Here is a 27,416-nt window from a genome sequence, read left to right on the forward strand (position 1 = left end):
CCTTGATTTATGCTGAGAAACCAGCCATTGTACCCACTTTTGCTTTTATATAATCATGGCAAGTGTCAACGAAAGAGCAGGCAATGGCTTTGTATTACTTTCACAAATTTTTAAAATTTTTCATCAGCTTTCTCAGGTTTAATTAGTATGATTCAGAACAGTGTTGGCCAGGCACAGTGGCTCAGGCCTGTAATCCCAGCACTTTGGGAGGCCGAGGCAAGCGGATCACCTGAGGTTAGGAGTTCAAGACCAGCCTGGCCAACATGGTGAAACCACATCTCTACTAAAAATACAAAACTTAGCCAGGAGTGGTGGCAGGTGCCTGTAATCCCTGCTACTTGGGAGGCTGGGGTAGGAGAATCACTTGAACCTGGGAGGCGAAGGTTGCCATGAGCCGAGATCACACCATTGCACTCCAGCCTGGGCAACAAGAGTAAAACTTGGTCTCAAAAAAAAAAAAAAAAAAGAACAGTTATGACCTCTTAGGCCTTCTGGAAGGGGTCTTCGGGATCCCGAGAGGTCCACACAGCACATTTGGAGAACCACTGGTTTATACACAGGCACAATGCATTAGTTTTACAAAGTTTAAAGTTCATCAAAGACTGGCGTCTTAAAAAGGCAGATGAGTTTGTCATTCAAACAACAGAAAGTACATAAATACATCATGAGAGTATACTACAGAGAACTAAAGAGAAAGGAAGCTAGGAAATCTGAATCACATTTACATTTATTAAAGTTTACTACTACTGCTTTGTAGAACATTCTTGTGTTTCAATGTGTGGTTAGAAGAGTGAAAATATGTTTGGTTTATTGCCATGGCCTGTTAGGGAGAGTCAATACTCACGGGCATTTCTGACTGGTTATCATATAAAAGACTTCACGGTACAGGCCATGATGTGCTGAGAAAGAAGAAGTCAGGAAACCCTCTGCAAGTCAGGATCCAGGAGAAGAATTCGTAAAAACTGCTTTGGTAAACACCAAAGCACACAGGAGGCAGTATTTTACTAAACAAATATTATACTAAGATATTAACAGTTTTTGAAGTAACGCGCTTTCTTATTTTATAGAGATGCAGATAGATCTTTGAGCATACCTGATGAACAGTTACACTCATTTGCGGTAAGTGGCACTTTTATTGAGGTTGTATTTTCATCGTACACTTGTATCTGTTTCATGCTGAAGTCAAAGCCATCTTTTTTTAAATCTTCCCCATTTCATGTTGCATTTAGTCATCTTAAGTGTTGTAAAAAGAATGTGCTGGAGTAAGAACTGATCTGCAGCTCTGTTTAGTTAGTGAGCTAGTATGAGTAAATATACTATCCAAACAACAGAAAATGTATCTTTTTTTTTTTTTTTTTTTTTTTTTATGGACTCTCTTTCTGTAGCCCAGGCTGGAGTGCAATCGCGCGATCTTGGCTCACTGCAGGCTCTGCCTCCCAGGTCCCTGTTCAAGCAATTCTCCTGCCTCAGCCTCTTGAGTAACTGGAATTACAGGCATGTGCCACCATGCCCAGCTAATTTTTTTTTCTTTTTTTTTTTTTGTAAAGACAGGGTTTCACCATGTTGGCCAGGATGGTCTTGAACTCCTGACCTCGTGATCCACCCACGTTGGCCTCCCAAAGTGCTGTGATTACAGGTGTGAGCCACCATGCCTGGCCCAGAAAATGTATCTTTTTAAAAGGTAATTGTGAGCTGTCTATAGGACCCTGCAAGCCACTACCCAATTTTTGAAGCCATTCCTCCTTCTGTTCCACACAGGTTTCCACCGTGCACATTACGAAGAACAGAAATGGAGGTGGGAGTTTAAATAACTATTCCTCCTCCATTCCATCGACTCCCAGCACCAGCCAGGAGGACCCTCAGTTCAGTGTTCCTCCCACTGCCAACACACCCACCCCCGTTTGCAAGCGGTCCATGCGCTGGTCCAACCTGTTTACATCTGAGAAAGGGAGTGACCCAGACAAAGAGAGGAAAGCCCCGGAGAATCATGCTGACACCATCGGGAGCGGCAGAGCCATCCCCATTAAACAGGGCATGCTCTTAAAGCGAAGTGGGAAATGGCTGAAGACATGGAAAAAGAAATACGTCACCCTGTGTTCCAATGGCGTGCTCACCTATTATTCAAGCTTAGGTGATTATATGAAGAATATTCATAAAAAAGAGATTGACCTTCAGACATCTACCATCAAAGTCCCAGGAAAGTGGCCATCCCTAGCCACATCGGCCTGCGCACCCATCTCCAGCTCTAAAAGCAATGACCTATCCAAGGACATGGACACCGGGCTGGGTGACTCCATATGCTTCAGCCCCAGTATCTCCAGCACCACCGGCCCCAAGCTCAACCCGCCCCCCTCTCCTCATGCCAATAAAAAGAAACACCTAAAGAAGAAAAGCACCAACAACTTTATGATTGTGTCTGCCACTGGCCAAACGTGGCACTTTGAAGCCACGACATATGAGGAGCGGGATGCCTGGGTCCAAGCCATCCAGAGCCAGATCCTGGCCAGCCTGCAGTCATGCGAGAGCAGTAAAAGCAAGTCCCAGCTGACCAGCCAGAGCGAGGCCATGGCCCTGCAGTCGATCCAAAACATGCGTGGGAACGCCCACTGTGTGGACTGTGAGACCCAGAATCCTAAGTGGGCCAGTTTGAACTTGGGAGTCCTCATGTGTATTGAATGCTCAGGTATCCACCGCAGTCTTGGCACCCGCCTTTCCCGTGTGCGATCTCTGGAGCTGGATGACTGGCCAGTTGAGCTCAGGAAGGTTATGTCATCTATTGGCAATGACCTAGCCAACAGCATCTGGGAAGGGAGCAGCCAGGGACAGACAAAACCCTCAGAAAAGTCCACGAGGGAAGAAAAGGAACGGTGGATCCTTTCCAAATATGAGGAGAAGCTCTTTCTGGCCCCACTACCCTGCACTGATCTGTCCCTGGGCCAGCAGCTGCTGCGGGCCACCGCTGATGAGGACCTGCAGACAGCCATCCTGCTGCTGGCACATGGCTCCCGTGAGGAGGTGAACGAGACCTGTGGGGAGGGAGACGGCTGCACGGCGCTCCATCTGGCCTGCCGCAAGGGGAATGTGGTCCTGGCGCAGCTCCTGATCTGGTACGGGGTGGACGTCATGGCCCGAGATGCCCACGGGAACACAGCGCTGACCTACGCCCGGCAGGCCTCCAGCCAGGAGTGCATCAACGTGCTTCTGCAGTACGGCTGCCCCGACGAGTGCGTGTAGTTCTGTTTTATTTGACTACAGTCTCCTTGGTGCAAAAACAAAATGGGAAAAATAAGGATAACTCAGAATTTCAAAAGGAAATCACAAATTCAGCTTATAATAGCATTTTCAGTACTTCTCATAAACTAAGTAAATACACAAAATGTTGATTTTTCTGACCATAAGACATATTTTATGTCCTTTTGCCGAGGTGGATGTGTTAGTCTCAGGCCCTCCTGGCCACATTGCCCAAGTCACACAGGCTTCTGTATTATGTATTTAGATAAGATGTGTGAAAATATATTTGAAAAAAAGTTCATAAATTTGCATTGATTTTTGTACACATGGCACCTCTTTTTCATTTTTTTTTTTTTTTTGGACGATGTTTTGCTCTGTGGCCCCAGCTGGAGTTCAGTGGCGTGATATCTGCTCACTGCAAGCTCTGCCTCCCGGATTCACACCATTCTCCTGCCTCAGCCTCTCAGGTAGCTGGGACTACAGGTGCCTGCCACCACACCTGGCTAATTTTTTGTATTTTTAGTAGAGACATGGTTTCACCATGTTAGCCAGGATGGTCTCGAACTCCTGACCTTGTGATCCACCTGCCTCGGCCTCCCAAAGTGTTGGGATTACAGGCGTGAGCCACCGTGCCCGGTCCGTGGCACCTCTCTTAATTTATAAATTGAACTGAATGTGAAGTAATAATGTCAGCTAGTTGAGATAAGAGGGTTACAGATCGGCTGGGCGCAGTGGCCCACACCTGTAATCCTAGCACTTTGGGAGGCCTAGGCGGACTGATCACCAGGTCAGGAGATTGAGACCATCCTGGCTAACATCATGAAACCCCATCTCTACTAAAAAATACAAAAAATTAGCTGGGCATGGCCGGGCGTGGTGGCTCACACCTGTAATCCCACCACTTTGGGAGGCCGAGGCAGGCGGATCACAAGGTCAGGAGATCAAGACCATCCTGGCTAACATGGTGAAACCCCGTCTCTGCTAAAAATACAAAAAAAAAAAAATTAGCCAGGTGTGGTGGCGGGCACCTGTAGTCCCAGCTACTTGGGAGGCTGAGGCAGGAGAATGGCGTGAACCCAGGAGGCGGAGCTTGCAATGAGCTGAGATTGCACCACTGCACTCCAGCCTGGGTGACCAAGCGAGACTCCATCTCAAAAAAAAAAAAATTAGCTGGGCATGGTGGCGGGCACCTGTAGTCCCAGCTACTTGGGAGGCTGAGGCAGGAGAATGGCATGAACTCAGGAGGCAAAGCTTGCAGTGAGCAGAGATTGTGCCACTGCACTCCAGCCTGGGCAACAGAGCGAGACTCGGTCTCAAAAAAAAGAAAAGAAAAAGAGGGTTACAGATCATTGCACATGGAAAATATTCCCAGCAGTAAACACTTCCATTAATGTGATCTACAGCTTTTAAAAAGGAGCATCTCAGAATAAGATGGTGGTACAATTTGCTTATTGAGAAAGGAAAAAAAAATACATGAGTATATTACAAAGGGAAAAGAAGGAATGTGATTTCTCATGATTGAAAGCTTGATTTAGATTGCATACAGCTTTTGCTACCCAAGACCAAGCAGCTCTGGCAAGACAGGGTGGTTTTCCGAATGCCAGACCGAGGTGCCTTATGAAGGCAGCTGCCGATGGTTCCAGATGTAGAGAGATAGGTGATGCAGGAGGGAAAGCTGGATTGGAAAAGGGAGAGTTTTGTAGACGGGCTATGCTCATTGTGCCTTTGAAAGAGCAGAGCTGGCAGCCTGTAGTCATCATTTGGATATACAGGACTAGAGCATGAATCTGATGTAGAGCTACAGAATGAAGAGCAACAGCAGCTGTTTAAATACCGAGAAAGTGTGTAGAATGAAATTGGACGAGCCAAGCATGGTGGTTTCATGCCTTTAGTCCTAGCTACTTTGGAGGCTGAGGTGGGGAATTACTTGAGCTCAGCAGTTTGAGTCCAGCCTGGGCCAGATGGTGAGACCCTGTATCTTAAGAAAAGAAGAAATAAGACCAGGTACAGTAAGTATCTCATGCCTGTAATCCCAGCACTTTGGGAGGCCAAGTTGAGAGGACTGCTCGAGTGTAGGACTTCAAGACCAGACTGGGCAATAAAGTGAGACCCATTTCTACCAAAAAAAAATCAAGAAATTAGCTGGACATGGTGGCACATGCCTGTGGCCCCAGTTACATGGCATGGCAGGCTGAGGCAGGAAGATCACTTGAGCCCAGGAGGTGGAGGCTGCAGTGACCCATATTCATGCCACTGCACTCCAGCCTAGGCAACAGAGTGAGACCCTCTCTCAAAAACAGATAAAGTGGACAGAAAATAGGTCGGTAAGGACTAATCATTTAAGGGACAAGCCCCCAGAAGAGTGGCTACTAGAGTGGGAGGAGGAAAAGCAGAAGGAGAAAGAGTTGAAGATAGGCGAGGCTGTGGTCCCAGTGCTGAATTCTGCCAAGCAGTGACTTGATTCATGAACACTCACTGGATGCTGACTCTGTTGCTCTTCTGAGTGCTGGGGTAGAGGAGAGGAGAGGTGGAGCACAGTTCTTGCTTTTATGAGCTTATGTTCTAGGAAGTTCAAACAAGTATTTTTTCAGGTAGTATGAAATAGCAGGAAGAGGAAGCAGGCTAAAGGGACACAGAGTGATTGGGGGCTATTTTAAGTAGAATGATAAGGAAGAGCCTGTCTAGAGAGCTATTTGAACAGTGACCTGACTGAAGGGACAACAGAAAGCAGTGCTGACATTACAGGTAGCAGGATGACTGCCAAGACAGAAACGCATTTCATATGTGTTCGAGGAACAAACAGCAAGGTGACCAGCATGGGGAGAGTGAAGAATGAGGGAAACCTTGAATGAGAATAAAGCAATTCCATCTTGGATGCTAATCTGCAATATTCTGATTAATCCCAGTTCCAACAATTCATCTACGATTTCTATTTTATCTTTTTAAAAAAATTATTTTTTATTTTTTATTTTTTGAGACCGAGTCTCACTCTGTCTCCCAGGTTGGACTTCAGTGGCACAATCTCAGCTCACTGCAAACTTCACCTCCTGGGTTCAAGCGATTCTCCTGCCTCAGCTTCCCGAGTAACTGGGATTACAGGCGCCTGCCACCACGCCTGGCTAATTTTTGTATTTTTAGTAGAGACGAGGTTTTACCGTGTTGGCCAGGCTGGTCTGGAACTCCTGACCTCAGGTGATCCGCCCACCTTGGCCTCCCAAAGAGCTGGGATTGCAGGCGTGAGCCACCGTGTCTGGCCATACACATCCCTGCTGAAGCCCGCATTACCCTTCCCCTATGCTATAGAAGCCCTGGGTCGGGGGGGTGGGGGTGATGGCACAGGGATCCACCATCTTATCTTGGTGCCATCCCTGACTTGCCTTCTGTTCATAAACGCCTATTAAATGTTTCTTTCTGAGAAACTGGATTTGTCAGCCTCTTTCTTTGGTATCTCAGGTTCCTTGGCCTTTGCGGGTAGGTTTATATAGACCTGCTCAGCACAGGACAGGCAGTTTCTCAAAAAATTGAAAATAGAATTACCAAATGATCCGGCAATATCACTTCTGGGTATATAGCCAAAATAATTGAAAGCAAGGTCTCATAGAAATATGTGTACACTGATATTTATAGCAGTGGTATTCACACTCGTCAAAAGATGGATGCAGCCGAATTGTCCATAGGCAGATGAATTGATAAAATGTGGTATATACATACAGTAAAATATTCTTCAGCCTTAAAAAGGAAGGAAATTCTAACACATGCTACAACATGGATGAACATTGAGGACATTATGCTAAGTGAAATAAGCCAGTTAGAAAAAGACAAATACTGTGTTCTTTCACTTATGTGAAGCGTCCAGACTGAGTAAGCAAACTAATAGAAACAGAAGGTAGAACGGGGGTTGCCAGGGACATGGGGAAGGGAGAAAATGGGAAGTTGCTTAGTGGATATAGAGTTTTGGTTTTGTCAGATGAGAAAGTTCCGGAGATTGGTTGCATGGCAATGTGAATATACTCTACATTACCCAACCCAAGGGCTCTCCTTGACCCCTGTTCCAACTGCCACTTAGAAGTGGTTAAGGTAGTAAATTTTATGTATATTTTACCACAATTCAAAATAGAATTATTATTATTTTTTTTATTATAATTTTTTGAGATCCCTCACTCTGTTGCCCAGGCTGGAGTGCAATGGCACCATCTCGGCTCACTGCAACCTCTGCCTTCTGGGTTCAAGCGATTCTCCTGCCTCAGCCTCCCAAGTAGCTGGAACTTACAGGCACATGCCACCATGCCAAACTAATTTTTGTATGTTTAGTAGAGACAGGGTTTCACCATGTTTGCCAGGCTGGTCTCGAACTCCTGACCTCAGGTGATCCACCTGCCTTGGCCTCCCAAAGTGCTGGGATTACAGGTGTAAGCCACCATGCCCAGCTGTCAAAATAGTTTTTTTTTGTTTTTTTTTTTGTTTTTTTTTTTTTTTTTGAGATGGAGTTTTGCTTTTGTTGGCCAGGCTGGAGTGCAATGGCAGGATCTCGGCTCATGGCAACCTCCACCTCCCGTGTTCAAGCAATTCTACTGCCTCAGCCTCCCGAGTAGCTGGGATTACAGGCATGCACCACCATGCCCAGCTAATTTTGTATTTTATTTTAGTATAGATGGGGTTTCTCCATGTTGGTCAGGCTGGTCTCCAACTCCTGACCTCAGGTGATCCACCCACCTCGGCCTCCCAAAGTGCTGGGATTACAGGTGTGAGCCATTGTGCCTGGCCTTTTTTTTTTTTTTTTTTTTTTGTGATGGACCTTCGCTCTTGTTATCCAGGCTGGAGTGCAATGGCACGATCTCAGCTCACTGCAGCCTCTCCTCCTGGGTTCAAGCGATTCTCTTTCATCAGCCTCCTGAGTAGCTGGGATTACAGGCATGCACCACCACGCCTGGCTAATTTTGTATTTTTAGTAGGTATGGGGTTTCTCCATGTTGATCAGGCTGGTTTTGAACTCCTGACCTCAGGTGATCCACCCGCCTCGGCTTCCCAAAGTGTTAGGATTACAGGCGTGAGCCACTGCGCCTGGCCTGAAAAAAAATTTAAAAGTTTGAGAAAATATAAAATTTTTATAGTCTCCATGTATTTCTCCTAAGATCTTTCCCCCTATGAGGGGAGGAAAGAGGAATTATTATAACACAGGAAGATGTTTAATACTCAGGATTTTTTATATCATCATATTTAAAGTCTTTTTCTGCACAGCTAAATCTGATTCCCTGCTACTAAATCTGATTGAGTTAGCAACTAAACTAACTGATTTGGTAGTATCTATCCAGATCACAAACAGAAATATTGTTAAGACTCCCTCAAAAAGGAGTTTAACCTCAATAGGTAACTCCTCCTAACTATAGTTCTAAATTAATGAAACACAGTAGTCATTTAACAAGATACTAGTATATATGGCCATTGGGGTATATGGGACATGCTACCTCAAAATATGACACCTTGGCATTTGAGAAAACAGAAGCAGAAAGGTCTCTCTGACCTTTCCCTGGCCCTTCTCCTCTGAAGCAGGACATAGAAGAATCCTCTAACCCTCTCTGGAGTAGGTCATAAGAACTTAATTCCAGTCCTCCCTATTCCCAGAGGAAAGGAGCCTCCTTATTTGTAAAGATGCAGAGAATGATCTGACCACACAGGCCTTGCTGAGCTCCCCCAGCTTATTCCCTTCAGGTCACACCCCTTTCATCTAATCGTGCTTCTCCAAAACTGTCCGCTTCTTCATCAGACAGCATCCAATTGACACAGGATTTCCTGTTTCTCTTGAGTTTTTCTTTCTGAAGGCTCCTGTGTCTGGTAAAACTTATCTTACGTAAACTTGCACACTTTTCTCTGGTTAATCTGTCATTTGTTCTAAGGGACTCGACCATGAACCTAGCGATGGCTGAGAAATCATTTCCCCCCTAGCCGGCCTAACTCATTTGAAGGAGCATACACTATTGTGTGGGAGTCATACTTATTCCTAACCATTTTGAAGAGATTCATCTTTAAATTAATATATTACATTAAATGTCTTCCTTCAGAAAAGACAATCTTGTGAACATCGCCTTTGGTGACTGAACATCACGAGATATAAAACAGGTAGAAAAAGAAAATATTTGGGGTGGCTCTAACTCTTAAATCCCATGAAATAATCCCCTCTTCTTTAGCAGAAACCTCAGCTCACCTCCTCATCACTGCTGAACAACAGGGCAGATGCTTTCTTTTTGGAGAGCTTGGAGGCTTTTGCTTTCTCTTGTCTTTGAGCTTGTAGAGACAATGTCTGCTTCTTAGCAGCTGTACCCCCAAAAAGATTATCCTAGAAAAGCAAATGGCAGAAAGGTAAGACAACTTTATAATCAGAAAACATAGGATGTCCTCCTATATCAAACTTTAAGGAAGTAAGTCTCCAGTCAGGTATACAAATAACAACTCTGGTGAGGAAAAACCACAAAATGCTAGTAAATCCCAAACTACAGCCTTTTCTCACTGCACCCATAGAAGGGAAAGAGATTACCATAGAACTCGAAGGCAGAACAGCTGTGAATAAGCAGGAGAACAACATGCGAATGAGATCATGAAGTACAAGGAGAAACTGAGCCCCATCCAGTCGCCCTGTGGGCAAGTGCCTCTCTGCTCATTTCAGGTGGTTACAGCCTGCGATGGGCACGGGAGCCCCCGCAGCAGCCAGAAACTCACACTGTTGTCTCCACAAATGAGAAACCAGAACAATGGCTGAAAGGAGAGAACTGGGGGTCTGTCTCCACTCCTTTACAGGTCAGAAAGACATACACCTGGGATGGAGGGAAGGCATGACTTGTGTTTCTCATTAGTTTCAAAGAGATTATACAAAGTGGAGAAATAGCTTACTAAATAAAATTGCTGGTGTACTAAGTTTAATGGCATTTGTAAATTCTTCTGTGGTCAAGCACTCCCCAAAAGTTATATTTATTAAGGTGCTTTTATTCAGATAAGGGGAACAAAAGCATCAGAGGGCCTGAGTCTGAGTTAGGATGGACAAACTCTTAACAGCAGGTGAACAGCCCTGGAATGTGAAGATGGATGAAGGGAGTGTCTTCCTGGATGAAGTCTCCTTTAAGGAGAGTGCGGTAATGTAGGACAGGCCAGGAGAATAATGAGCTGGTGTCCATTGGGGATGCTAATGACAGAGCTCACATTCACTATGCACTTATTATGTGCCGGCACTCTGCATGAGCTTCACACTAGTAGTTACAGCTGCCACAATGACCCTACTCACTGTTAAGCCACATGAGCTTAAGGAAGGTTAAGTTACTTGCCCCAGGTTCCTGGTTTGCAAGTGGTGGAGCTGGGATATGAACCCAGGGGTCTGATGGCAAAGCCTCTGAGCTCACCACCGCCCAGTACTGCATGAGAGTTAAGGTTTGGGTTGTCTTCTCTCTTATTTCTCTTCCCCACTGTGCTCTCTCCAGCCAGGATGGGAAAGAAAGACAATGGTCAGGACATGGCTGCCTTCTCCTTTGTATCTCCACTTGATCCAAAACATTCTTGTAGGTCATTGGGTATATGTTGATCCATCCTCTAGACTAAAGTACAGCTCACCCTGAATGACACAGGTTTGAGCTGCACAGGTCCACTTCTACACAAATGTTTTCTCAGTAATATGCTGAAAATTTTTTTTGGCATTTGCAACAATTTGAAAAATCTTGCAGACAAACCACTTAGCCTAGAAATATCAAAAAAAAATAAGGAAATGCTAGATATGTCAGGAATACAAAAATATATAAATAGATACTATACTATTTATAGGTTAATCAACTGTTTGTGTTACCCATGAGGCTTCTGGTTAACAGTAAGGTATCAGTAGATAAGTTTTTGGGAAGTAAGAAGTTATATATGGATTTTTCACTGCAATGTGGAAGCCAAAACAACCTCCTCACTGTTAAAGGGTCAATTGTATTTCTCAAAGGAAGATTTCTAAAAATAAAACCTGTAGATTTCACTCCATAAGAACTGTGTCAAGAGGCCAGGCACGGTGGCTCGTACCTGTAATCCTAGCACCTAGGGAGGCCGAGGCAGGCAGATCAACTGAGATCAGGAATTTGAGACTAGCCTGGCCAACATGATGAAACCCTGTCTCTACTAACAATACAAAAATTAGCCGGGAGTGGTGGTGCACGCCTGTAGTCTCACCTACTTGGGAGGTTGAGGTAGAAGAATCTCTTGAACCCGGTTGCAGTGAGCCAAGATTGCACCACTGCACTCCAGACTGGGTGACAGAGAAAGACTCCATCTCAAAAAAAAAAAAAAAAAAAAAAAAGAACTGCGTCAAGAATCTAATGTCTTCTCCATTGCACAGCTAGGAAAATATAAGGAAGAAGTCACTGAAATAAAAACAGAAATATTTTTGTTATATAAACTTCAGGTAGCCTGACTGCTTCCCTACCACCTTTTGCTAGTATATGAGCCTCTGGGTAGAAAGTTACATCAACAACCGTTTTCTCCTAATCTAAATTATCTAGTGTTACAATAACAATGTTTACCTCTTCATCTTCATCATCAAACAGGGAAACCGACGTGGGGAGCTTGCCAGGCAGCAGAGACGCACCTTTTAAGTTACTCGCACTTTGAGAAGAAAACAAATCCTGTTGGATTGAAATTAAAAAGTTGCTGGTTAACAGGAATATCAGTTTTTAAAATATCAGGTCAGTATAAAACACAAGTGACTCAGACATGACAGCTGCCATGTGTCTAGGCTTCTTTCCTGAGAGGGAAGGTGGCTCAGACAGAGTCCTTAAAGGAGGCCTCAGGGTCTGTGCAGGGTGTGTGCAGTGGCGCTAAGGAGGAGGAGAGCTACAGGATCTGGTGGGCTCGCAGAGCCCAGGGGCTTCTGTATTCCCACCTGAATGACAGAAGGCAGGAATAAGTTTTTGAATCAATTTCCTACACCATGCTAAAAAAATAAATAAATAAGAATGGCTTCCCATTACTGTCTAAAGAATCAGAAATTAGACAGGGTCAATAAAGAAATAGGAGCTAGATTCCCAAATTAAGGGACCTACAACTATTTTATTTCGTAACACCCTTCTTTCCTAAGATTATGACTTATTTCTTTTTCTTTTTTCTTTCTTTTTTTTTTTGAGATGGAGTCTCACTTTGTCACCCAGGCTGGAGTGCAGTGGCGCCATGTTGGCTCACTGCAAGCTCTGCCTCCCGGATTCACACCATTCTCCTGCCTCAGCCTCCTGAGTAGCTGGGACTACAGGCGCCCGCCACCACGCCCGGCTAATTTTTTTATATTTTTAGTAGAGACCGGGTTTCCCCGTGTTAGCCAGGATGGTCTCGATCTCCTGACCTCGTGATCCGCCCGCCTCTGCCTCCCAAAGTGCTGGGATTACAGACCTGAGCCACCGCGCCCAGCCCACTTATTTCTTTTAAATAAATACAAATTAAATTTTTATTTGTAAATGTTTGATAGTCTACTTAGTTTTACTACAAGTATATGATGTTGCAAACCAGGATAAGACCTGCTAGATTCTGAATAAACTTTCAGCCTGGCACTGTGGCTCATACCTATAATCCCAGCATTTTGGGAGGCTGGGGCAGGTGGATCACCTGAGGTCAGGAGTTCGAGACCAGCCTGGGCAACATGACAAAACCCTGTCTCTACTAAAAATACAAAATTAGCCAGGCGTGGAGGTGGGTGCCTGTAATCTCAGCTACTCAGGAGGCTGAGGCAGGAGAATTGCTTGAACCCGGAAGGCGGAGGTTGCAGTGAGCCGAGATCCCACCATTGCACTGCAGCCTGGGCAAAAAGAGTGAAATTTTGTCTCAAAAAAGTAAAAAATATAAAAATAAAGAAATTTTCAAAACGTTATAAGACATCAGCTTATCCTGCAAAGAAAGACCTACAAATTGAGCTACATGAAGTAGAAACATAAAATGGGACATCTAATCCCTTGGGAAGAGAAACATTAATACACAAGAGCTGAACAATTAAATAGGACAAGAACATATTTTCTAAGACCTCTTCTGACAGTTTTTTTTTTTTTAATCATGGGGTTGATGTCTACTCCTCAAACATAGACCTAATGAGTTCACTAAGTGAGATCTCCTCCACACAGTGTTTTTCCCCTGTGCTCCCCGGAGTCCCATGGGTTTATTTAGATAGAAGAGGCCACAAGGGGAATTCCAGGCATCCCGTGTCCCTCCTGCATGTTACACAATGGCAAGAGAAAGGGTTCTGCTGTTCTAAGAAAATGAAAGTAAACCAAAGCAAAGAACAAAAACAAATGTCAACATCACAGTTTTGGACCCTTAACTAATACTTTTATTGGTACTGCAAAAAAAGACACTTCCATTACCTCAAATATGTTCCCCTAAAATGACTTCACAGGGCAAGCTTCAGCCCCACACTTGAGATACAGAGAAAGGAGTCAGGACGCATTCCTTTGGGTCCAAAGCTTTAACTCTTACTTAGACTGCCTTAGTTTTACTTCTCCTTGCCTCAGAATCTGAACAATATCCAATAAAAACATTCACTCTATGATGACACACATGAGGCAAAGCCTTTGGTAGGGTTTTCACACAAGTCTGAGAGTACATTTACACTCCCACCATCAAGAAGGGGAGCCTATGGCCCCTCCCCATGAACCTGGATGGGCCATTGTGACCATCTTGACCAACAAATGAAGCAAAAGGACCACCGTTGACTTCCAAGGCTGGAACACAGAAGGCAACATGGCCTCCACTGGGCTCTCTCTGAGGACTCTCCCCTACAGCCCTGAGCCAGCATGTAAGAGGACCGGCTTCCCTGACTACATGCTGGGAGCCACACAGGGCTAGTGAGAGATGTCCCAGGGGCCCCAGTGCCCAGGTACCAGACATATGAGTGAGCTGACCCTCAGCCCAGCCACCTTCAGACACAAGAGACCCTCAGTGACAACGGCCTAGCTAAGCCCAGTCAAACTCTCGAAGTATGAGATAACAAAACTACTGGTGTTATAAACTACTAGGTTTTGGAGTTACTTGTTTCATAGCAACAAATAACCAGAACATCTCGTAAGTCACTGAAATTGCTCACATTTGGTTTTCTTGTCTAATCAACAATTACTGGATGGCTTACCACATGCCAAGCACTGGTATTAAGGACAGGGTGCTGGGGATACAAACAGGGAATAAAAAGTCCTGTCCTTGTGGCACTTACTTTAGTGGGAAGTAGAGACAATGAATAAGTAAATATACATTGTCCCTGGCAACACGTGCTGTGGTAAACAGTGAAATAGGAAAGAGGACCAGGAGCACAGCGTGGTATGTGCTAGCAGGCTTCCTGTTGTGTGTATTTCATCAGCGAGGCCTCACAGAGAAATCGAAGAGTGAGGAAGAAAGCTGGATTCTGGGAACAGCATTCCTCAGAGTGGCAGGGGCCGGTGCAAAGACCCCGAGGTGCAGGTGTGGGTGACACAGGGGATCCATGAGCATAAGACGGTGGAGGCCCCATCATGCTGTTTCTCAGGGGTCAGGGTTGTGACTTGACTGGACTTTGGTTAATTGCCATGTTTTGTACACTCGCCTTCAATGAAATAATAGCCTCAAAGGTATTCTTTACGTCAAGGGCAATCACTATACTTCCAAAGGGTTCCATGTTCATCCTTGCTGTGAGTGCAAAGCCCAACCATGACAGCCTAACCTAGAGCCCACAGTTTCTTGAAATACATGTAAGTTTCTGCCATGTCCACATGTTTTTCTGTAAAAGGGGCTTATTATTTCCCATTACATTTCTCATACAGGTCTCCGATCTCCTAAAAGGCCAACTTAAAATTAGATCTAAGACGACCTAGGCCTGAGAGATTCAGGAAAAGCAGTGAAATTCTGAGAGGTGGTTCTAAGGTACCTGGAGGGACCAAAGCAACCTGTGAACCAGGGTCCCACAGGCTGTTAGTGGTCTCAGTCTCGACAAGACAGATGGCTATGCCAGAACCCATCTGCTACAGCATTAAGCCACGGTCTAGTTAGTGAGAATGTGAATAAAGGAAGTAGCATGGTGACCTCCACTCTGGTGCAAGCTCCTCATCACATCATGAGCCCATGAACAGTTTACAATCTGAGCATCCTAAAAAGAGAGTATTTTCATCCCAGGAAACGTAAATACAGTCCAACCCAAAAGTGAAAAGTATTGTAAACATATTGCTTTCTAAAACCCCTGTGCTCTCAAGAGATTATTTTTTATTCATTTATTTATTTTGAGACGAAGTCTCACTCTGTCGCCCAGGCTGGAGTGCAATGGCGTGATCTCGGTTCATTGCAACTTCTGCCTCCCGGGTTCAAGTGAATCTCCTATCTCAGCCTCCTGAGTAATTGGGATTACAGGCTCGCACCACCATGCCCAGCTAATTTTTGTCTTTTTAATAGAGACAGGGTTTCATCATGTTGGCCAGCCTGGTCTTGAACTCCTGACCTCAGGTGTCCACCTGCCTTGGACTCCCAAAGTGCTGGGATTACAGGCATGAACCACCGCTCCTGACCTCTAGAGATAATTTTTAAAGAACTGGAGTACTTAACGAAAAGTCTTATAACTCTGCTGAGAAAAACCTGATTCAGAAATAGTTTCTATGTCATATCCATAGACTAATACCCACAACTAAGGAAAAGAATACCATACCTCAGAGTCCTCCTGATCCTAAAATAAGCCTTTTTGAGTGTTTGTTTCTGACGAGGGCTTGAGATTTTTGCTGGAAGGTAAGGTAACCTTTGTTGGGGGAAAAGAAAAGAAAAAGAAAAATTAAGCATTAACAAATAAGATACCCAGAAAAGAGTGTTTACTCAATCAACCATTTAGAAAATGCACGGAGTCTCTGCTGTGATAGGCAGCAAGCCGAGGGGGCTGTTAGGAGAACAGCAAGACAAACAGAGGACACATCTGGTGTATCAGGGAGCAGGACACACAGTCTGGGTCAATGGGTGCACAGATGGGACATATGCAATGAGAGACAGCATGGAAAGACAGGCTGCCTGACAGGCCTACCAGGTTCTGAATGCTGGGCCTTAGGGGGTCGGCAGGAGAAAGTCAGGGTTTCACAGCCAGGACATGACATGATGAGACAAACTGTAGAAAGAGGAGGGACCAGCTGTACAGGACAGCAGTGAAAGGTCAAGCAGTCAAAAGGGCTTAAAAACTGCTGGGGACACACACACTGGCCAAATGCAGGTCAATCTGAGCACCAAAAACTATGATGGTCTGGCCAACATGGTCAAACCCAGTCTCTACAAAAAAATACAAAAATTAGCTAGGCATGGTGGTGTGCACATATAGTCCCAGCTACTTGGTAGGCTGAGGCTGGAGAATCGCTTGAGCCCAGGGGGTTGAGGCTGCAGTGAGCTGTGATTGCACCACTATACTCCAGCCTGGGCAATAGAGCAAGACCCTGTCTCAGAAAAAAAAGGAAGAAGAGGAATGATGGTAATGGATTATCATCTACACTGAAGAATGAATTCATGATCCCAAAGCAACACTAAAAATTAGGGAAGCAGAGGACGAGGAAACTCTTTATTCAGAAGATACCAACTAATAAGAAATATAGAATTAAAAAAGCAGTGGTTTATGACCACTAACAGGTTAACTGATTCAGGAAAAGATCATCAGTGGATTTTCAAAACACTGAGTAAAAGGCTGGGAGAGAACAGGTATTCACACTGTTCAGCTATCACTTTAGAGATCAACTTAGCAATGGCAAAAGAGAACAGGGTACCTTTCCAATGAAGCAGTGTGGTGGGCACCCTAACAACCAAGTGACAAACGTGTCTGAATGAGGCAGACAGTGGACCTGATGTATCTTGGGAGGTGATCCAACTGGAAGTGCACAACCCTGCCTGCTTGTATTCTTGCCAAAACTGCTCACCCTGAATCAATTCATAGAAAAATAATCAAGCAAATTCATGCGACACATTCTACAAGACAAGTGGCTGGACGTTAAAAAAAAAAAAAAAAAAGATGTGGGAGGTGTTGCACTAGATTAAGGAGACCAAAGAGACAGGACAACCAAATGCAATGCAGACATACTGCCTGAATCCTGGGTTTCTTAAAACAAAACAAAAAAAATCAAAATACACAAAAATACTATAAAGCAGGGGTCCCCAACCCTGGGCTGCAGACCAGTCCATGACCTGTTAGGAGCCAGGCCGCACAGCAGGAGGTGAGGTGAGCAGCAAGCATTACTGCCTGAGCTCCTCCTCCTGTCAGATCAGTGGCAGCATCAGATTCTCATAGGAGGGCAAACGCTATTGTGAACTGTACATGCGAGGGATCTAGGTTGCAAGTTGCACTCTCCTAATGTCCCCAATGCCAAAAAGGTTGGGGACCGCTGCTATAAATGGCATTTTGGGGACAAGAGAGGAAATTACAATATAAACTATATGTGAGATAATTTTAAATCTGTATTCTATTTGTTGGGGTGATTTTACAAAGACATTCTGGGACAACTGGAGCAATTCTAATACAGACTAGATATTAGATTCTACTATAGAATTACTGTTAGTCTCACAGCTGTTGATAATGGCATTGTGCTTATATGGAAGTCTTTTCAAGAGAGGCTTAATGAAATATTTAGGGGTAGAATGTCACAATGACTACATGGAAACAGTTCCATGCAGCAAACAGTTCAAACAACTTACATGCAAATAGTTCAGGAAAAAAATAGATATGTAACAAGGTTTACATCCATAAAGTGTTTGCCAAAACCCTAAGAACTGATCAATCTGGGTGGCAGTTATTTGGGTGTTCACTGCAATGTTCTTTCCACTTTCTGTTTGAAGTTCTTCAATATGAACGTGAAAGGGAACAGTACTTCCCTCTGGGTTCCGGATGAATTATTAAAATGCTGCAGATCAATGCTCCTGCGTTAAGTCCTCCCTCCTGCTCGCCTTTTTTTCTGCTCTTGCTTTATTTTCATCTGTCTGACTCACCGTGGCTTCTGGCGATGCTACGGCTTTTTCTTTGAACAGATCTCCTTCTTCATCACCAAAGATATCAGCAGTGGATTGGACTTTGCCTTTAAATACCAAGGCATAAAATTACAATAAGGCCGGAAATCCTACCACAAAAAATCCTACCACAAAATTCATAGAATAAAAAATTCTTCCCTCCCGAAGATTAATATGAAAGTTACATTGTTTCTTGGTTACTTATAAAGAAATAGTAAGTGGAACTATACTCTTCCCTTCAAATTTTTCAAAGAGTGTATTGACAGCTCAGTTGAAAGACAGAACAAATAGTTTAACCATGCAGCTGACATGCTTATCCAAGCAGCAGTCTCCTGCTGCGGTTAGAGAAGCTTGGACTAACTTAAAAGGTGAAGAGGGATCTAGAGGAAGAAAGATCACTTAAGAGGAACACCAAGTCAATCATCTAAGGAATCTGAGAAATGAAGGCTGGGCTCCTGCTTTAAAAAAATCAAACTGGGCTGGGCACAGTGGCTCACACCTGTAATCCCAGCACTTTGGGAGGCCAAGGCGGGTGGATCACGTGAGGTCAGGAGTTTGAGACCACACTGGCCAACGTGGTGAAACCCCATCTCTACTAAAAATGCAAAAATTAGCTGGGTGTGGGGCAGGCGCCTGTAATCCCAGCTACTCGGGAGGCTGAGGTAGGAGAATTGGTTGAACCCAGGAGACGGAGGTTGCAGTGAGCCGAGATCCGCCACTGCACTCCACCCTGGGTGACAGAGCAAGACTCCATCTCAAAAAAAAAAAAAAAAAAAAAAAAATCAAACTGTACAAAAGCAGATAAAAGCAAATAATGAAATTCCCTCATAATTCCACCTGCCTACTCGAACAACATGGACATTGGAAACAGTTCAGCATACATGCTTCCAATTCCCCCAAAGGATGTACTAATGAGTTAACACTAGTTATTTACAAATAAGGCTATAAATAAGAAGGTAATTTGAACAATGTGTCTTACCATTTGTATTTTCCACTTAATGTACCTATAAAACCTTCCCAAGTCAACAAGCGTAGACCCCACTCGTTTTAACAGTCGCACAATATTCCACTGAATAGAAGGGCCATCGCTTACTCTACTGATGAATATTTTCACCACAGTAAACACTGCTGTACCGAATGGGGCATGCGTTGCTGAAATGAGGTCACTGACTCATGAATGTCTGAAGAGACTAGGAGTTGTCAAAGAAAGCAGCATCAATTTACTAGTGATTCTAAATCAGTTCTCAAAGATATCCACTAAGTGAGAGCCCTGTGGAGCTACAAAAAGCACTACTACCTTCATTCACTGTCATCTTCACCGAGACCTGCATGCATTCTGCATCCGTTTGCACTCTTTCTAGATTAACTAGGCTATCGTTTTCCCTCGTGCTTTGGCTTCCATCCTTACTTTCTACACCTAACACTGGAAAAGGACAGTAAGTCCAGACAGTCTGCTTCTAAATGCATTCTGATTCCATCTATTCCTATATCATCCTTTTTTATTTTTTAAAGTTGCTGAAAATCATGTGCAACTTAGGGATCTAGGGATCTACCTTTCTTTTCTGGAAGAGCAGTCAATGGATCTAAGTCTTGCTATTCCAAGTGTGATCTACAGACCATGAAGCTTGCTGGAAATGTAAATTCTCAGGCCCCACCCTGGACCTACTGAATCGGAATCTTCATTTTGACAAAAGCCTCTGGGAGATTCATCTGCGCATTTAAAAACAAATGATTTACAGGAATGACTTCAGGAACACAGGACTTACATTTAAGAGGAAAAAGAAAGGAGAATGCCAAAAAGAAAGGAGTGGCCAAGTGGATGAAAACCCCATCATGTGAAGAAAGACCAAGGCCACCTGAGCTTTTTGGCAGAGAGAAGAGAAGCTGGGAACTAAACGGCCAGCACACAAAATGCTGCTCATGTAATTGACTAAGGTCAGCTGGAAGAAAGTATGATTAAAACTTTATAATTCCAAAGGTCAGAACTGCGAATTAAGCAAAAATTATAGGGATAAAGACTTCAGCTCTCTATAAGGAAAATAATCATAGTAATTAGCTTACAGAGCAGAAAAGATTGGGTCATAAAACAGACCTCCCAGGCACCACACCTACGTAAGTACAGACACAACAGCTCAATGACAGGAATGCTGGGGAAGGGATTCTGGTACTATAAGAGATACAGAACTAGGTGAGCTTATCTTCCATTTAGGCAACATTCTTTTTCTGGCTGAAGTCCTAGACACAGAGGCAGGAACAAATACCTGTTTTGGAAGGTTTGCTGTGGGGTGTCGAGAAAAAGTCGTTATCATCATCACCATCATCATCATCAAACAGGCCAGTGGGAGGGGGACCATAGGGGCTTTTCCTTGGAGTGGGCTGCTCAGGCTTCTGTGGCTCCTTCAGTGATGGAACGGAGGCAGCACATCCGTGTCTCCTGTGAGTGAAGGGACAAGACAGACACAGCTGTGAGCCAGTGTGGGCCTGTTGAATTTACAGAAAAAAATTATCACCCACCAAAAACTTTCCATTTCAGTTAATCCACAAAATGCATTAACAGGGCCCAATAGCCTCCATCCATTACTGCTACAGAACATCTCACAATGGAGAATCACCAGGTCACTCAAACACAAAAAAGTCCAAGGCCACTGAGCTCTAGGAGAATAAGAGCTAATATCAGTAAATGAGCTCTTTCTATACGCTGCTCAAAGCCCTTTGAAGCTCCCAGGTACTTCCTCATCTCCAGCCAGGCTTTAGAAGATGATAATTTTGAAATGGAAAAAACAGTATTTGTGTAGTTTTTAGAAAACAAACCTGTTATGTTACCTAAAAATACAGAAACAGCTCCTGCTAGGATTTTCTTTCCAGGTTTGGATGATGAAGACTCTAGAATGAGAAAGCAAGGGATAACCATTTTTACAAGGGAAATAACTTTCCTTGCTATTTTCTTCCTGAAATATGTGCAATGTAACACACAGCTAGTACCAGACCTTTTGAAACTACTTTTTCCTGAACAAGCCATTTTAAAATTCTTTAGTATTTTCTTCTCTACTGACATCAGGACTTTTTTGGGGGGATTGATACAATCTCAGCTGTGACTCCAATGGAAGAGCATGCTGACCGTCATCAAGCCACAGCAGTGGGTCAGCTGGGGGACACCAAGGGAGGAGGTGAGCACAGCTGGCAGAGGCAGGGACAGCATGACCGGGGCTCCCCCAAACAGTTCCACCTCTACCCATTCCAGTTGGATGAGAATGAACGAGTGAAAAAGAACAGCAAAAACATGTGAGTCATCAGTAAAAAAATAAAGACATAAGAGCAAAGGGGGAAACCAAGCAAGTCACTGATGCCAAAACGTGGACAGCAGAATGCAGAGGAGCCCGCACAGCACGCACAAGGAGCGGCTTCCAAGGCCCAGCTCTGATGCCTGTGCCCGGGAGACTCGGCACTTAGAATCACTAATTCCCAAGTCCCAAGAACTACCACAAACCTATGGAGTAACATTTGTAGGTTAAAAAACATATTTATATTTGTGTTTTTTAAAAACTGCACCAATGGGACAGGTGCAGTGGCTCATGCCTGTATTCCTAGCATTTTGCCAGGTCTAGGCGGGTGATCACTTGAGGATAGGAGTTTAAGACCAGCCTGTCCAACCGTCGTCCAACACGGTGAAACCCTGTCTCTACTAAAAATACAAAAACAAAAACAAAAACAAAACCTGTGCAGATGATTTTAATGCACACTGGGTTGGGGAATTACTGGTCTCCAACTTATATACAGAATGTTAAAAACGTTTCTTTAAATTAAACTTCATTCAATGAAAATCATCCTCAACATTGCTCTAGGGTACTTTTCTTGTCTGACTTTTTATGAGTTCTCTCCTAACAAAGAGGCAAGACTGTGGTATGGGTTTACCGGTGGTACTGTTTTTTCCAAGACATGAATTAGTGAAGATGAATTACTTTCAACTGGACCGCAGTAAAAACAACAGCTTCCTGCTTAACACAGAAACAAGGCTTGGGAACAACCTCAGGGTTCCATCTCCTAGTGAGAAAGACAGTTTTGGAACTCTGCACACGGAGACGCAGCTGCCCAGCCCCAGCTTACCCTCCTTAACAGAGGCTCCAGCTTGCCGATCCTGGGGGGCTTCCGTGAAGAGGTCACTCTGGTTGAAATAAGGTATATGACAAAGAATTCAAAAAACCAGGAGAAAGCATAGCTGCATGTGAGGATTCCTAAGGAAAAATAACCTACAAGATTTAAAGCTACATATTTACTACTCTGCCAGAAAATCAGTTGCAAAGTGATAACTATGGCAAAATCAGACCCTAAAATAATTTAGGCCTGTCCAGGAATTAAAAACAAACGTGGAAGACAACAGATAAGGCAAGAAACAATCACCTAGTAAATTATTCACATTAACACGTGCACATCTTCTCCTCACCTAACAAAGCACAGAAGGATACGGCATTTCTCACTCTGTGATTCTTAGTTCAAAATGTCCCAAAATATGAAAATAGAAGCAACTTCCAACTGAGAAACTGTTTTTTCCCCACTAAACAAGCAAAGCCTATTTCTTCCCTGTGGACCCCTGACACAGCTAGCTGCAGGGAGTGTTGCTGAGTGCCATGGACTCACCTCCTCGTCCTCATCATCAAAGAGCCCCTTGCCCCCACTGAACAGGCCACCTCCAGAGCCAAATGGCGAGAAGTCCTCGTCGGTCAGCTTGGGGGGTGCGAATAAGTTATCCTCTTCATCTAGCAAACAGAAAGCAATGTTTTGCAAGGAGTATTAAAGACGGGTCCGGAACTCAAATTCCTGGGTTGGCGTCTGCAATGTCTCCAAACTGGCATGAAGTTTATCTGACCCTCTTTATCGAAGTGTGAGGCAGTCTGACGAATTTCACACTAACCCCCTGGCACAGTCCACTGACACCCTCAAAAGACTCTCTGGGCCTCCACTCTCAAGTCTGTCCATGTCTGCGGCAGACAGCATTCATTCTCTAGGCCAGCACCCTGGATCTAGATTTACTCTGAAGCAAGCATTCAGGTCAGATGCCACATTCAAGACCCATTCCCCAACCAATCTGGGGGAAGGAAGGGCAGAATAAACAAAGGGACCTGCAGACTGACACAGGGACAAGTGGAATGTAATGGACATGGCTGTTTAATAGGAAAAGGCCTGGTGTATCCTTTATTGAAAACAAATGCTAGAGATCCCTAAGTTTCTATATTTCTAAAGAATTCTAGAAAGACAAGAAATGATTGCTGTAAAATCTAATAAATCAAATCTCTACAGGAATTTTTACTCCACACCCACATATCCTCCCAGCACCCCAAAACATGCCTTCCAAGGCTTTTGTTTGTTTGTTTTTGAGATGGAGTCTTGCACTGTCACCCATGCTGGAATGCAGTGGCGCGATCAAGGCTCACTGCAACCTCTGCCTCCCGGGTTCAAGTGATTCTCCTGCCTCAGCCTCCCAAGTAGCTGGTACTACAGGCACCCGCCACCATGCCAAGCTAATTTATTGTATTTTAGTAGAAATGGGGTTTCACTATGTTGGCCAGGCTGGTCTTAAACTCCTGATCTTATGATCCGCCCACCTCGGCCTCCCAAAGCGCTGGGATTACAGGCGGGAGCCACCACGCCCAGCCCAGAGGCTTTAGAAAAGTAAATGGAGACAGACCCATTTGTCAGAAGGAAAACAGCATGTAAAGCAGTACTTCATGAATTATGTAAGCAACATTCCCGAGTCAAAGCCTCCTAAAATAACAGAATTGAGGGAAAAGGCCCACCGTCCGAAGGAGTTCTCCTTTCCTTCTTCTCTTGAGTGTCTTCCGAAGTTTTGCTTCTCCTGAGGGTAAGGCTTGAAGAACAGTTCACAGTTTTAATAGTACTAAGTCCTCCCTCAGTATACGCATCCTGGTTCTTTCCACGTCTGTCATCCTCATAACTCACAGCTAAGAGCAAGACATCTGCCTTTCATCTCAGCTGCACTGAACCCCCTGCCCTGCCCACAGTGGGCACTCAAGAGTCTCTTTGTAAGGCAGAAGGCTTCTGCTTTCATCCCAGGCTCATGTGCATAACAGGATTGTATTTGTTGAAAGAATTATTATGTTATCTTTCTACTCTCTTATAACTAGAATATGCTATATAGCACATTCTTACGTGTTCAAAATATAGGAGTAAATATTCAGCCAGGAATTCTTAAGCTGTTGCCCATGGTTCTCTGGAGTTTCCATTAGTCCCCTGAAATTATATGTAAAGGGTTATCTACATGTGTACATGTACGTTTTTCTTGTGGGTCCACAGTGTTCAGTTATCTAAAGGAGCTCATTAACCAAAAAAGGAATAAGCACTACAATTTAAATTATATGTAGCAATTACTAATAAATATATGTGGTAATTACTAATAAAAAGAGAAATCCGCCTTTGGTGAAGCCAGCAGAGGGCCCTGCACTACCCCTCCCCTACTCCCCATCAACGCGGCTGGGGCTCACTTGTCGGCTCCTCGTCCACTCGGCCCACGGCATCCCCCTTGATGCGGGCAGCCAGCTCATCTGCAAACGATGTAGGTCTGCTTCTTTTCTACAGCAGGAGAAATCAAAAGAATCGCTTTTTTGTAACAAACTAGTACACTTCACTTTGGACACCTAACAACATTATGTATACAAGAGCAAAGAAATTGAACTGAGGAGAAAACTGAGTTTAATTAAATGAACTTAAACATATGTACCCTATACAGCTCACCCAAGGAATGGGACTCAAAATGTTCCTTCAAAGGGAGATGCTCTTTATTTCCTTATTTTTTTAATACTTGACTTTAATACTTAAAAATCTAAATAAGAAAATAAGAAAAAGGTCATGGGCAGGGAGACAGGAGCACTATGGTCTTCAAACTCTGGAACCAGACATATTCTGAATGATCTGACTCATAAAATCATAACATCTGGACAAGAAAGTGGTACTTGTGAGGCAATTTGAGATGCTTGCCATTATTTTCCAAAGTGTAGATGAAATGACAAATATGCAAAAATGAGAGATGTACAAAGTAAGTCACAATAAAAAATAAAAAAAGTCATTGGTTCTAAAACCCTGCCAAGTGATAGCAACTACAGCCTTCCTTACAGGTCTAGTATTTTCTTCAATGTCCTCAATATCTTTCTCCTCCTTCTCAGAGTCAGCAAAAAGGTCACAGCCATCATCATCCTCTTCCTCATCACTCACTTGTGTGATGTGCTAAGAGTATAAAATACCAAATTAGAACTACTAGTTATTAAGCTAAAGAAGAGATACTGCCACTTAGCCTTTAGGCTCCTCCTTCAAAATCGTAACAGCTGTTTAAAATAATAATCATAATCACGATGCAGTAAGTTATAAAGCAAAAGATGTGCTGGAACAAATAATACACAAGATTTACTTCAAATCTAAATAAAAATGCAATCTTTAATAAGAATGTAACCACAAGAATATAAAAAGCAAAATATTAAAATATCAAAATTGTCTGTTACTAGAGAAATATTTTTATTTATTTACTTTTTTTATTTTTGAGTAATTTTGTTGTTGCCCAGGCTGCAGTGCAATGGGGTGATCTCGCCTCACTGTAACCTCCGCCTTCTGGGTTCTAGCGATTCTCCTGCCTCAGCCTCCCGAGTAGCTGGGATTACAGGCACCTGCCATCATGCCTGGCTAATTTTTATATTTGGTAGAGATTGGATTTCACCATGTTGGCCAGGCTGGTCTCAAACTTTTTACCTCAGGTGATCAAACTGCCTTGGCTTCCCAAAGTGCTGGGATTATAGGCATGAGCCACCACACCTGGCCTATTACTAGAGAAATATAAACAAAATCAGTATAGTCTTACCTTAGTAAGAATACTGAGTAATAGTTAAAAGGTAAAAGCTGTAACAATTAGAGAGCCATCCAAGGTAGGTCAAGCAAAAAAGTGCCAATAACAAATCCAGCACGATACCGCGCCCCCTCTACATACAAGCATTTCTATGGAAACAGATATATTTATAAAAGCAAAGAAAAAGACGTGGAAAGACATGCTCCCAGAGCATGATCCCAGTTACCTCTGAAGAGTATGCAGAGAAAGAAAGTACTGGAAGGCTCAAACTTAGCCTCATCTGTTAAGTTCTAATTTTTCCAAAGGTACACAGTAGTATGTATAACAAAAAAAAAATTTTGTTCAATGTTTGAATCAATGAACTGTGCCAGGCATGTTACTAAAAGCACTTTATTATCTAATTTAATCCTTACAACTTTGAGGTTAGCTGCAGCACACAAAACCAACCTGTTGCATAAGCTAGTGCTTTTACTCACTATACTGTACTGTTTTGAAAAACAGTTTGTGGCCAGGCATTGTGAATCACGCCTGCAATCGGAGAACTTTGAGAGGGTGAGGCAGGTGGATCACCTGAAGTCCGGAGTTTAAGACCAGCCTGGCCAATATGGCAAAACCTTGTCTCCACTAAAAATACAAAAATTAGCTGGGCATGGTGGCACACGCCTGTAATCCTAGCTACTTGGGAAGCTGAGGCACGAGAGTCACTTGAACCCAGGAGGTGGAGGTTGCAGTGAGCCAAGATCGTGCCACTGCACTCCAGCCTGGGCGTCAGAGTAAGACTCTGTCTCCAAACAGACAAATAAATAAATAAATGGGCTACTCTATTCAGGAGAAATTCAGATTTTGGAGTCACAATGTTTCAGTGATAAATTCCAGGGTGTGGGACGTAGATTAAGGGTGTTAAGTTCGTGGCCACTGAAGTTACCCATGATGGTGTTACATAAAATCCAAGTTTGGTAATTGGCTCGCCTCAATTTTACCAACCAAGTTCCAAGTTCTAAAGTGTGTATGTGTGTGCGTGCGTGCGCGCGCGCGTGTGTGTGTGTTTTAATGAATGTGGGGGAAGTGGAAGAGGTTGGTAGATGGTGACTTAAAAATGAAGTCCCCTTAAGACTCTAAGACTGTTTTTGCAGACAGCAGTCTTAGTCTTCTTCCAGGCTGGAGTGGAGTGGTGCAATCTCGGCTGACTGCAACCTTGGTCTCAGGGGCTCAAGCGATCATTCCACCTCATTCTCCTGAGTAGCTCGAACTACAGATCTATGCCGCCATGTCCAGCTAATTTTTTTTTTTTGTAGATATGGGGTTTCACCATGTTTCCCAGGCTGGTCTCGAACCGCCTTGGCCTCCCACAGTGCTGGGATTACAG

The 27,416-nt window shown here is 43.9% G+C and overlaps 2 pseudogenes across 1 annotated transcript in view; one reads left to right on the forward strand and one right to left on the reverse strand.

Moving 5' to 3' along the window:
• The window catches only part of AGAP10P (ArfGAP with GTPase domain, ankyrin repeat and PH domain 10, pseudogene), a 20,866-nt pseudogene extending 18,482 nt beyond the window's left edge, over positions 1 to 2,384 (forward strand). Inside the window, exons 7-8 of the transcript NR_160521.1 lie at positions 1,068 to 1,119; positions 1,759 to 2,384. The product of NR_160521.1 is annotated as an ArfGAP with GTPase domain, ankyrin repeat and PH domain 10, pseudogene (transcript). The remainder of the gene's footprint in view (positions 1 to 1,067; positions 1,120 to 1,758) is intronic.
• FAM21FP (family with sequence similarity 21 member F, pseudogene) lies at positions 2,385 to 26,251 on the reverse strand (annotated as a pseudogene).
• Between the last annotated feature and the right edge of the window lie 1,165 nt (positions 26,252 to 27,416).

The sequence above is a fragment of the Homo sapiens genome, chromosome 10 (genome assembly GCF_000001405.40).
Source record: "Homo sapiens chromosome 10, GRCh38.p14 Primary Assembly".
Taxonomy (NCBI): domain Eukaryota; kingdom Metazoa; phylum Chordata; class Mammalia; order Primates; family Hominidae; genus Homo; species Homo sapiens.